The sequence below is a fragment of the Homo sapiens genome, chromosome 16 (genome assembly GCF_000001405.40).
Source record: "Homo sapiens chromosome 16, GRCh38.p14 Primary Assembly".
NCBI lineage: Eukaryota > Metazoa > Chordata > Mammalia > Primates > Hominidae > Homo > Homo sapiens.
In genome coordinates this window covers 90,090,218-90,102,553 of record NC_000016.10, presented here as the reverse complement: position 1 = coordinate 90,102,553, position 12,336 = coordinate 90,090,218, and the positions used below count along the sequence as shown (strand labels likewise).

General features: G+C 49.7%; 2 long non-coding RNA genes and 1 pseudogene across 2 annotated transcripts in view, besides 3 other annotated features; 1 reads left to right on the top strand and 2 right to left on the bottom strand.

The window, feature by feature from the left end:
- Positions 1 to 290, bottom strand: part of FAM157C (family with sequence similarity 157 member C) — a 75,343-nt gene extending 75,053 nt beyond the window's left edge. The window contains exon 1 of the long non-coding RNA NR_126161.1: positions 112 to 290. This is a non-coding gene — a long non-coding RNA (family with sequence similarity 157 member C). The remainder of the gene's footprint in view (positions 1 to 111) is intronic.
- Positions 291 to 390: 100 nt separating this feature from the next.
- LOC105376786 (uncharacterized) lies at positions 391 to 1,375 on the top strand. The gene is made up of 2 exons (XR_933914.3): positions 391 to 806; positions 922 to 1,375. It is a non-coding gene; the product is annotated as an uncharacterized LOC105376786 (long non-coding RNA).
- Positions 4,584 to 4,734: a silencer, noted in NCBI's record as "fragment chr16:90164228-90164378 (GRCh37/hg19 assembly coordinates)". NCBI's record gives its function as "represses an EF-1alpha promoter that drives an FKBP-Casp9 reporter gene in an ReSE screen in HepG2 liver carcinoma cells {active_cell/tissue: HepG2}" and the evidence as "EXISTENCE:reporter gene assay evidence [ECO:0000049][PMID:32094911]".
- Positions 6,196 to 8,589, bottom strand: TUBB8P7 (tubulin beta 8 class VIII pseudogene 7; annotated as a pseudogene).
- Positions 7,519 to 8,291: an enhancer, noted in NCBI's record as "H3K27ac-H3K4me1 hESC enhancer chr16:90160671-90161443 (GRCh37/hg19 assembly coordinates)". NCBI's record gives its function as "activates a minimal SCP1, AML or CMV promoter by ChIP-STARR-seq in naive H9 embryonic stem cells {active_cell/tissue: H9 hESC(naive)}" and the evidence as "EXISTENCE:reporter gene assay evidence [ECO:0000049][PMID:30033119]".
- Positions 8,292 to 9,065: an enhancer, noted in NCBI's record as "H3K27ac-H3K4me1 hESC enhancer chr16:90159897-90160670 (GRCh37/hg19 assembly coordinates)". NCBI's record gives its function as "activates a minimal SCP1, AML or CMV promoter by ChIP-STARR-seq in primed H9 embryonic stem cells {active_cell/tissue: H9 hESC(primed)}" and the evidence as "EXISTENCE:reporter gene assay evidence [ECO:0000049][PMID:30033119]".

Genomic DNA, 12,336 nt, shown 5'->3' with positions numbered 1-12,336 from the left:
GCTCCCACACTCTAGAGTTCAACAGGTCTCAGGGGCTCTGCCTGAGGACTGTCCTTCAACCAGGTATTCGTAATTTCCCCAAGACCCAGGCTTGCTGAGTCACTCAGTTACCTGAATGCCTTTTTCACAAAGGAATGACTGTGCTGCTCCGTCTTCCTTCTTTTTTGTTTGCGAGGCCACAGGGAAATCTGGATCCTCTGGTGAAAAAGCAAATCCAGTTGCTGCTGCTGCTGCTGCTGCTGCTGCTGCTGCTGCTGCTGCTGCTGCCGCCGCCAGTTCTTGTAAATGTCCTCACTTGGTTTCTGGGCAGCAACTTCCTTGACTTGCCTGGGGAGCGGATCTGAGCTGCATTTACCAGGCCATGCCCAGGGGAAGTGATCAGTGTGGGACCGTGAAGCTGGATTTCCCCAGGAGCTCCCTCCAAGCTTCTGGGATGATGATAAGACTCGGGATGAACCAAGGATCTGGAACCATGGGACAATGTGAAGTCTAGACCCAGTGGAGGAAGAGAAAGGCTATGGGAAGGGCAGGCTTCACGTTACTGAGCATCCGCTACCTGCCACACACTTTCACGTGGACTTATTCTGTGTGTTTCTCACAGCACCCTTGAGAAATAGAGACTACGATCACATCTTTTACATAAAAGAAAACCACCATCCAGGGAGGCGAAGTCCCTTGCTCACAGACTGTCATGTGGGAAGCTCTCTGGATGCAATGATGTCCTCCAGTTGCAGTACCAGGCAAGCTGTCCCAGAGTTCATGGAGCGGAAAGGCTCGAGAAGCAACTGAGGATGCTCAAATCACAGGTTTATAAAATCCATTCGTAAAACACAGCAAGAAGCTGAGGGAAGGAGATGGGAGGGCCGTATGACCTGATTCCTGTGCTGTCAACATTCATCGGTTCTCTTCTTTCTCTGCTAGTCAACCTCACCCACTCAGGTGTGACCACGAGGACCAGAGCCGAGGTCTGGGCAAGAGTGCTCACAGCTTAAGGGCTTATGACACACACCGGCTCAACGGGACAGACATGGGACAAGTGTGCCTGATCATGGTGGCGTTGCCAAGAAGCAGCTGTCGCACTGCCATGGGTTCTACGTGTTTCTTGGGCAGAGGACGCATGGGACCAGAATGGGCACCAGGAATGGTGGTGAACAAAGGCCCCATGGTTCTGCATGTTTAGGTGTCTCTTGTATAAAGGCACATTGTGAATTGAACATTTAGTGCCCAGGAGCCTCATGCATATTAAGTATCTCTTGGCCCTTGTGTCTCTTCCTTCCCACATGTAACATACCTGTTCTCTGTAACTATCTATTCTGAACGTATCTAAAAACCATGTCTTGCCTGTGTTATACAAACCACATGCATACTCACGTTCTCTGATGTAGCTGAATGTTTCCTAAGGCCAGGGCACATTTCAGGGTCACATAGAGTGGAGAGAGGGACCAAAATAGCCTTGCTCTGTTTGACTCCCAGCCGAGATGTCTGCTGGGCAGCACTGCCTCTGTAGGCTCTAATGGGGGAAGGGAGCTCAGGGGAGCCTCTGGGGCTGGGCAGGCTACCAGAGGGTGTGGACATTTGGGTGGACCCTGACGGAGGACTTGGGTTTCCTTGGGAGGAAGTGTCAGGAAGGGCATCTGGGGCTGAGAGCACTGTGTGGGCAACAGAAGGAAGGAAACTGTGGCTGGCTGGGAAGGGATGGTACGGGGGACAGGGTGAGACTTCTGGCCCTGGGTGCTCAGATGAAGACCTGGGGTTGCCTAGTGGCTGGAAACACACACCAGCTGTGGCAACTTGACCTCTGGGATGTGAGTGTGCAGGCAGCTGCTGAGAACGGCTGTGGATTTGGAGATGTGGCTACAGGGAATGGGCAGTGGATTCATCTGGGAATTCTGCAGGCAGTGGCCCATAGAGGAAACAGCCTGGAAATGAGACTGCAGATACGTGCTAAAGAGGCTGGAGGAACAGTGACCCCAGTACAAGTTTATGGATCTTATCCACAATCTAAAGAAATGGAGGCCAAATGGCTTTTGAAATTCTAAGATACATGCAGAGGAAGAGTAATGCTTCATGGGAGAGCCAGACTCTTACTGGCAGTGACGCTACACGGTAGAGCTCTGTTCCTCCTGCCCATGTCTGTGGTTGGGGCTGAGGTAGTGCACAAACATGACGCTGATGAGGCCCAAGCATTGTTGGAAAAGAAATCAGCAGCTGCCACAAGAATCTTGAATCCGTGGCTGAAGACCTTGACTTTCTCTGGGACCAATGTGGTCAAGAACAAAGTAAAATCATGACAACAAACACTGTTCAGTTTTCCAAATATAAGCTATTTTAAATACTCTACATTTACCCTCAAAGACTGACATAACTTAGAATAACTTTTATAACAGCAAGGATGAGAACTAAAACTTAAATTGTAAATACAATTTTATTTATAAAAACAAAGTTAGCTTCAAATATTTTGTGAACTAGTAGAATTTTAACCTTCTGTCACATTTCCCAGCAAAGTAAATAATTCTTTTTTTCACTTCTAGTCTGTCAGAAGAAAAGTCTTAGCTGAAATGGCCAGAAACTCTGACGCACACTCCGGAGGCTGCTTCCGGGGCACCTCGGCACGGCCGCTTTTCCATCCCGGCCCTCACTTGATGCAGTCCAGCAGGGTTGAAATTGTTTGAAATGCTTGTTCCCAGTGCAGTAAAGAACTAGCACTTGAATGTAAATTTAATTTCCTCAGCAAGGCCATTTTTATTTTTTTTTAATTTCTGCAGAAAGTGTACACTCGCCAGCAGTTTTGCCACAACAGTATACTGAGCAAAGGAGACAGGGTCATTTATAACCTGATGCATCCACCCTACTGCTGTGTCCAGTTTCCAGAGGCTGGAACGGGACCTCACATTCTGTATTTGTCCCGATTGGCTAGCAACTTAGAACTTTTTTAAAGAGGAAAAGGCAGAGGAGAACGAAGGAAGGAGGAAGTAACTTGTGGAATGCTGAAAAAAGTAAAAACACCTTCGAATAAAGAAGAGGAACAGGCAATGACCTAAAGCTTGCTTGGACTAGTATAAGCATGCCAGGGCAAATATTTAGGCTAAATTGTGGGAGCTAAGATCATAAAGTACATTGATTTCTTTATTAGGGCTAGCAGATATTTAACAATGTTAGCACAGGTCTTTGAATAAATTTTGCTTCTAAGAGAAGTTACTATTTATTTCTAATGAGATGGGAAGGAAAGTCTTTGAAGAGGAAACTCTACTTTTTACAGAAGTAGGAACTTAGACTTACAGTTTGCACATTGACAAACTTGTTTTCCTTCCGTACACGAGGGGTTTATGATCCTCTGTTGCAACTGATTTGTCTTATGTAACTTCAAGAGTTACTCGTCAACCTACTTACTATTCTGGACTTTTCGGGAAATGGCAATTTGCCTTCCTATTTAGTGGGAGGGATACTGAGGCTGCACTTTTTCTTACCCCAAGAAGTGCACAGTGTCATTGCAATGTCAACATCAGGGAGATCTCAGCCAGTGTGAAATAATTAGATCGTCCACTCAAAATTCTTAGTTACAACTTTTTAATATTTTCTTCACACTTCTTAAAAGCAGCTTAACAAGAATTGCATTAGTCAGGGTTTTCCAGAGAAACAGAAAAGAGAGGAGGAGATGTCCAGAATTGTCTCGTGTGATTACAGTGGCTAGAATCCAAGGAAGAGTGGCTTGAGTCCAGGGGCAGAATTCCCTCTTCCCCTGGGAGGTATTTCTTCCTTTAAGGCCTTCAACTGATTGGATGAGACCCACCCACATTATGGAGCATAATCTGCTTTACTAAAAGTATACTGGCTTAAATGCTAATTTCATCTGAAAAATACCACAGAATAATGTTGACCAAGTACTGGGAGAGGCCTTTTCCTTCATCTTTTGGTAAATTGCAATCCCTGGGTATATTCACATTTGAAACTCAAATGTGGGCATTGGCTACTGCAGGCCTTTCCCGGCTCAATGGAGTGCAGACAGGGGAGGCACAGGAGTGACTCCACTGTGTGAAGAGAAGACTGATGAGGGCCCGTGTGGCACCTCAGGTAGGGTCTGCACTGTCTGGACTATGGTCAGGCCCCTGCCTGAGCCAGCCCTGCTCTCCAGTGTCCCCAAGGAATCCCTGAAACTAGCATCTCATGGAGGAGATAGATGATGCAGGAGGTCCCCTGTGCCCAGAACAAATGGTACAACAAGGCCCCTCTGTTCCCCAAACTGGTCTCAGCAAACTTTCCCCACAGCTTGGATCTGGGCAGGTCACAGGGCCCAAACCTCATGACCAGCAGTGCTGGACCAGGGGGCTAGAAGGGCAGGTGGAGCTCTCTGACGACATTGTGGAGAGGAGGGGTGCCAGGCAAGGGGTGTCCAGGCAGGGGGTGTCCAGGATACTGTCCTGAGAGCCTCTCCAGGGACAGGTGCCCTTAGGGGCAGAGAAAAATGCAACCGGGGAGACCAGAGGAGTCTGATGCAGATAAGGAGGGGCTCTGTCCAGTGATGTTTCTCCACAATGAGCTCTCCCGAGGACAAGCAGCCTGCTTTATAGGCGAACCCCACTGCACAGTGAGAAGATGAAGACTTCGGAACTCAGTTCCCTAGAACCTCTTCTCTCCCTGCATAGTCCGGCCCTATTCGTCCCTTCTGGTCTTGAAGGTCTTTAATGGAAACAAACCGCAAGGCCAAGGCCAGACCTGCCTGCCCTTCATGCCCATCTCCACGCAGCAGTTGAGTGTGGACTCTGCCTCCCCTGTCCCCTGAACAGTGAGTCCCCACCAGCCCCTCCATGGACACAGTGCCAGCTCTGCAGCCCTCCCGTCCCTCTGTCGATTCTTCTGCATGCAGGATGGGCACTGTGGCTGGAGGAAGGCTCCTGATCCACTGCTTTGGGGGAATCTGATTTAGCACTCTACAGGGAACCCAACAGAGATCCAAAGCTGAGTACGGATTCAGAGGAAGAACATTTCTGCTAAGCTTAGGGCCTCAGGGAGGACAGATAATTATCTAAAGTTGACAGAACAATCAATTTTCTGGGTCTGAAGTTTACAAACAAAATCCCTCTCCTTTGAAGGCAGATTAGCCATGGAAACACCTTCTACATTGCCTGCCTAAATGGTTTGTCTCTGCAATCAATCTCTCTATTCTTTAAAACAGAATTAGGATAATTTGCATAATTGTTTCTTGTCTCAGAGAAATCTTACGGGGAGGCTGTCTCCAGATAACCAGCAGCCTGGGCTCCAGGCTGGGTTGTTTCCCGACGCCAAACCCACAGAGGCAGCCTTGCGGTAAGGCTCCAGGCTCTAGAGCCAAAGGCTCTAGGTCAGAGGCTCCACCTGGGACGCCTGCGTCCTCCCTGCCAGGGCGGCAGAGGGAGCCACATCCCCGAAAGCCTCTGGCTTAGGGACCTCAGAATTCCCACCTCTGATAAGGTAATGAAATGAGCCAAAGTTGGTAAAAATCTGTGAACAAACTGGCCTACAGTGGCTAAAACCAGAGGGAGAAAAATAAGGTGACAAACCCCCAAACCAGCCATCCTGGGAAGTTTCAAGGGGCTGCATAGGGTTCTACATAGGGTTCAGTGCATGTCACAGGCCCAGCAACCACATCTGCAGCCCCCAGGACCTAATCCCCTTCTACATAGGGTTCAGTGCATGTTAGCAAACACTGTGCTCAATTCCTGCCTAGTCCCTGCCAGATACCCCATGCCCACCTCATTAAGAGAATGAGGCCACACAATCACACCCAGGCCATCGTGGTGATGGAGTGGCTGGGGTCCCACTTGCCCACCCTTCATTGCTGGTTCAGAGCCAGCTGTCTGACCACATTCCTACTCCAAGATGGGACTTTGGGGACATTAAAAGGGGTCAGCGACCCTGGTGGACAAAGTTCCAGAAACATGGCCAGCTGGTCCCCTAGAAGTTTGGTACATGGGGTAAGCCAAGGCTTTTCTTCAGGAACAGGTTTTCCCCCACGTCGCTGCCCAAGGCCCAGGGCATCCCCAAGTTCACGTGAAGCCTGCCTGCCATGTCCACAGCCCATGCCGAGCCCTCCTGGAGCCACTGGAATGCTTGTTCCTGGGCATGTGATAAGCCCAGACAGCTTCCGCCTTGCAGGACAACTATGCGCATCTGGCAGCAGTTGCCGGAGGGCCCATGGAAAGAAGATGGAGGTGAAACCAGATGCTGTGAGAACACTTTATTAGGCAAAACCGCATACTATACAAATGCTTTAAAATGCAGCAGGAGATGTGAAGACACAAATGAACAAGCGCACAGTGACACATGGCTGTCAGAACACAGTAAAGAATCCACACTGCTTCCCCACTTTACCTAGAAAAGGAGAGTTCTAGGCCACCTCCTCCTCGGCATACTCCTCATCCTCCTCCTCGGCCGTGGCATCCTGATATTGCTGATATTCAGACACCAGGTCATTCATGTTGCTCTCGGCCTCGGTGAATTCCATCTCATCCATGCCCTCGCCTGTGTACCAGTGGAGGAAGGCCTTGCGCCTGAACATTGCTGTAAACTGCTCTGAGACACATGTGAAGAGTTCCTGGATGGCCGTATTATTCCCAATGAAGGTGGCTGACATTTTTAGCCCCCGGAGTGGGATGTCACAGACGGCTGTTTTTACGTTGTTGGGGAGCCAGTCAGCAAAGTAGCTGCTGTTCTTATCTTGAATGTTGAACATCTGTTCATCCACCTCCCTCATGGGCATGCGACCCCTGAAAATGGCAGCCACCGTTAGGTAGCGGCCATGACGGGGGTCACAGGCAGCCATCATGTTCTTAGCATCAAACATCTGCTGGGTGAGCTCAGCCACAGTCAAGGCCCGGTACTGCTGGCTGCCCCGGCTGGTCAGTGGGGCAAAGCCGGGCATGAAGAAATGCAGCCGGGGAAACGGGACCATGTTCACGGCCAGCTTCCTCAGGTCAGCATTCAGCTGGCCCGGGAAGCGCAGGTACGTGGTGACCCCAACTCATGGTAGCAGACACCAGGTGGTTCAGGTCACCATAGATGGGTGTGGGCAGTTTTAGGGTCTTGGAACATATGTCATATAGCGCTTCGTTATCTATGCAGAAGGTCTCATCTGCGTTTTCTATGAGCTGGTGGACTGAGAGGGTGGCGTTGTAGGGCTCCACCACCGTGTCTGACACCTTGGGCAAGAGCAGGATGCTCAATGTGTTTATAATCCTGTCTGGGTACTCCTCCCGGATCTTACTAATGAGAAGGGTACCCATCCCAGACCCAGTCCCCCCACCCAGGGAGTGGGTCAGCTGGAAACCCTGCAGGCAGTCACAGCTCTCAGCCTCCTTTCTGACAACGTCCATCACTGACTCCATCAGCTCCGCGCCTTCGGTGTAGCGTCCCTTGGCCCAGTTGTTTCCGGCCCCACACTGACCTGTAAGACAGTACAGCCGGTCACTCGACGGCCAGGTATACGGTCATCAGTGGTCACCACCATAATGCAGAAAGCAACAGTGTCACGTGTGAGGTGAAAGCACCACTCGCCCTGCAGGTGGAGCAAATGAAACCCGCTCCCGCAGAGTAACAGGACAGCAGCTTCCCCTGTTAGAAATTAAGACAGGAGTCAAACCTGAGACGGGCTCACAGACCTCGCTGCCGGTGGCTCCTGCCCATTCTCAGGAAACGCAATAGCCACGGCCCCAGCTCAGCTCCCGGCAGGGACATCAGTAGCTCCTCACCTTGAGAAGACACCCGGGCCTTCCTCCCGAAGCCCGTTTAAGAGAGGCAGATTGAGCGACTCGACTCGGAGGACAGGAGGGTGTTCAGGGGCCCTGGCGCCACAGTTCCCACAGGATGACCTTGGAGCGTTCCTGGATTTTGAGCTGCCCTGGCTAAGGAGCCGCACCCCAGTCCTCGCCCGCAGCTCACGGGAAATGAAGTTGTCTGGCCTGAAGACCTGCCCGAAGGGCCCCGAGCGCACGGAGTCCATGGTGCCCGGCTCCAGATCCACGAGCACAGCGCGAGGCACGTACCTGCCACCTGCGTGGGGCGGGAGGGCATGAGCGAGGGGAGGGCCGCGTTCCCAGGAGGGCGGTGGGGGAAGGACGGGGGTCGCACCGCTGGCCTCGCGGTGGTGCACGTTGACGCGCTCCAGCGGCAGGTGGCTGTCCCCGTGGTAGGTGCCAGCGGAGTCGATGGCATGTTCATCAGAGATCACCTCCCAGAACTGCGGAGACGGGAGGGGCCAGACAGGCCGGGGCTGAGTCACGGAGGCGCCCCAGCCGCTCTCCCACCCCCACCCGCACCCCCATCCCTAGGCCGCCCTGTCCCTGGGGTCCACCCCGGCCGCCTCGCCAGCCACCCGGTTCCACCGTCCCCGGCAGGGAGCCCAGGGGCCGCAATGCAGGGGCACCGCCCCCGCCGCTGCCAACATCTTCCCCGGCCACCCGGCAGGCCCGGGCTGGGCCCTCAGAGCCCCGGCTGCCAACCTTGGCCCCGATCTGGTTCCCGCACTGCCCGGTCTGCGTGAGCACGATTTCCCTCATGGCCAAGGCAGGATTAGGGCGGCAGCAGAAGCGCGAGAAGGAGGAGCAGACGCGCAGCGACCCAGCCCGGCCTCCGCCAACGCTTAAATAGCCCCGCGCCCACCTCCCTCAGCCTCCGATTGGGCTCCCAGAATAAGCAACAGCTTTACTTCCACACAGGTGCACCCACCTGTGAATCCCCTGGCGTTGAACGTCTGTTGGAGAACTCAGGTGTCCTTGCGTGGTCCCTTCCACGTTGGGGAAAGCTGCTCAGCTGGAGAACTTCCTCCCACGTCTTTAGTAAGACTAAATCCCTAGCTGAGCTGAAACTGAATTTTCCTCCCATGTGGGAGGGGAAGACGCTTGTTTCCATATTCAGAGTGCCTTTGCACCTGTCCCAGATTGATGACATATTTTTGTAATTGATGAGTCTTTTCATCTATTAGGAGATCTGTCGTTAGGAAAGGCCTTCCACATGTTAACTCAACAGGACTTAATTATACGTTTTACTTTGGAGCAGTTCAAACCCGCAGTAAGCTATGGGTATTAGAGATAGTCAGGCCTCTGATTTAGCTAGAGTCTTCTTTAGGATTAGCCCTTTCACCTTTCCAGAGGACTGCGGTCTCCAGCAGAGTGAAGGTAATATTGGATTCTTAAAGCTGAGGATAGGTGTTGGGTTACACCTGCTGTGAAAGCTGGGCCATTGTCACTTTACAGGCTTTTGGATTACCCAAACTGAGGAGTTATTTCTTCTGGTAAACATTTTTCAGATGGGGTGGGGAATGCCTCGATCTAACCAGTGAAGGTATCAGTAAGCATTAGCAAATATTTGAATCTCCTGCAGAAAGGCTTCGGGGTAAATTAGAGTTGCCAGTTCTCATGTAGATAGGTTCCTCCATTTTGGACAGGTTTAACTGGAGAAGGAGAAAATTGCTGGCCGTTTGGGTCATGTCAGGCACAGAGCTCACAGGGCTGAGTCACCTGTTTTAGTGTCTTGAAAAGATTTACCCCTATGAACAAATGAGACATTAACAGAAACAAAGAATCCCTTCTAGAGTGAAAAGAATCATGAAAGTGCTGAGTTATACTCCTGTGACTGGTACTTGGCATTAGTAATTTATTACCATCATTCAGCCCGAGGGGCCCTGGACTGAAATGCAATCCCTGGCCCATTTCTGTTCTTCTTCAGAGTGTTCCGGCCCAGTTCTATGTATGCTGACCAGAACGCCCACAAGCTTCATTGGCCCTTTCAGTGCAGGGGCCTTGGCTGTGGCATCTACAAGGGCATTTCCTTTTACATGGTCAGTCTCTCTTTTGATGTCCTCTGCAATTAATTATAGTCACTTTTTGGCAGCAAAGCAGCATTCTAACAAGCTCAAAATCTGAATGATGTTGTATGGAAAAGCCCTTTGGGGTCAGGAGTCCCCACCCATTCCAAATTGCAGCATAAGCATGAAGCACTAAAAAATCATACTTGGAATCAGTGTAAATGTTAACTTTTAAATCCTTTCCAACTGCAGGGGCCTAGTAAGTTCAATTAACTCAGCTTTTTGAGCTGAGGTCGAGGCCAGCAAGGCTTGTGCCTTGATTCTCTTGTGCTGACTACTAATAGCATATCTAGCCCTGTTTTCCTGATGCATAAAACAACTTGCATCTGTTAACCACTCTTCCTTGGGATGGTCAAGGGGCTCATCTCTCCTACGTCTGGCCTGCTAGAATAAATTTGTTTCATAACCTGTGACATGCTTTGGCTGTGTCCCCAGTCAAGTCTTATCTTGAATTATAGCTCCCATAATTCCTATATATCGTGGGAGGGGCCCAGTGGGAGGTAATCGAATCAGGGGATGGGTCTTTCCCATGCTGTTCTCATGACAGTGAATAAGCCTCATGAGATCTGATGGTTTATTTATTTATTTATTTATTTTTGAGACAGAGTCTTGCTCTGTTGCTCAGGCTGGAGTGCATTATCATGATCTTGACTCACTGCAACCTCTGATTCCCGGGTTCAAGCGATTCTCCTGTCTCAGCCTCCCGAGTAGCTGGGATTACAGGCGCCCACCACCATGCCTGTCTAATTTTTGTACTTTTAGTATAGACAGAGTTTCACCATGTTGGCCAGGCTGGCCTCGATCTCCTCACCTCAGGTCATCCACTGCCTTGGACTCCCAAAGTGCTGGGATTACAGCTGATGGTTTTATAAAGGGGAGTTTCCCTACACAAGCTCTTTTGCCTGCTGCCATGTAAGAGATGTGACTTTGTTCCTCACCTGCCTTCTGCCATGAGTGTGAGGCCTCTCCGACCATGTGCAACTGTGAGTCAATTAAACCTCTTTTTTTATAAATTACCCAGCCTCAGATATGTCTTTATTAGCAGCGTGAGAACAGACTAATACAACCTGTATGCCAGAAAGGCTGGGAGCACCTGTGGACTCTGACAGGTAAGTAGTGGGTTTATGGTTTGCCAGGCTTTAAGGGTTATGTCTGGAGGGTCGGTCTAGCAATAAGGCCTCACACTTTCATAAATATTCTCCTATTATCCACTGGTGCCCTTTAGCTTCTAGGACCACCTTCCCTTGGTGTGGGGTCAAAAACCTGTAGGTGCTGTTCTAATGTTAGTTTATTAGCTTTGCCAACTAGAAAAGTGGTAGCAGCAATAGCTCTAAGACATCAAGCCTAAAAGTCAGAGGATTGCTGAGGAAAGTAAAAGCTAAACTGTTTAGGGCCTCTTTCCTGGGGCAGCCTCCAGGCTACTGCAAAACGGAGGCGGTGAGCAGAAAGGCAACAATATGCAGAGCACTCAGGTGAGGGACACAGAGCACAAGGTGGACAGTCCAAAAAGAGAAAGTGGCAAACATCTTGTTTAGCCAAATCCATTCTTCTCAATATTCCCCAGGGCCTCTAACCCTGTGGGCTTGGCCTCTAATCTGAGTATGACACCCCCAGGTCTCTAACTTTGGGCTGAGTCTCTCACCCTAATATTATACCCTAGGGCCTCTCACTTAAGTAACAGTGGGTAATCATTCTTGCCAACCTGAATGGCTTCATGACCCTAAAAGACAGCCCACTTGCCAGCTGATTGATTCTATGTGGATTGTTTTCCTTGGAGTGGGGGTCTTGTCTTGGTGTCCCTTCATGGTGTTGCTGAAAGATGTTGCTGGAAAAGAGGTTCCTGATACAGACCACAAAGTAGGATTCTTAGATCTTGTGCAGGAAAAAATTTGAGGTGAGTCAGAGAGCAAAGTGAAAGAAGCAAGTTTATTAGAAACGACTCCATTACAGAGTTGGACATCCTCAGAAAATAAGAGCAGGAATGCATTGTCTTTTGTTAGTGTCTCTACTCTAACTATAAAGAGAAAGAGTTATAATTAAACTTGGAAGGTGCAGATGTACTCATTAAAGTCGGGTCTATTCGTTTTAACGATGACCATTAACCCGTTGACCTAAGCTAGCTCATTAATATTATCTTTAACAAAAAATGCTGCACTCCTAGGATATTTATACATTTTTCAGGCTTGGTGGAAGATGTCTTGTATGGCCATAAATATTCTGCAATTGTAATTTGTGGCCAGTAAAAAAATGTGGCTATTTTCAGACTATAGGTATTAACCTTCTAGATGCCTTGTGAGTACCTAGCTACTCATATTAAGATAGAGAATTCTAGTCATGTTTATTAAACTGGAAGCTTGATAACCATGAGTTCCTCTAACACAGCAAGTCTACTCCTCAAGGAGAAAATGTATTTCTCAGGAATTTTGTGCATTTTATTTGATGGCATTTGGTATGTTTACCAAAATGGCAGAAAAGAGTGAAATTAGTCCTCAGAGATT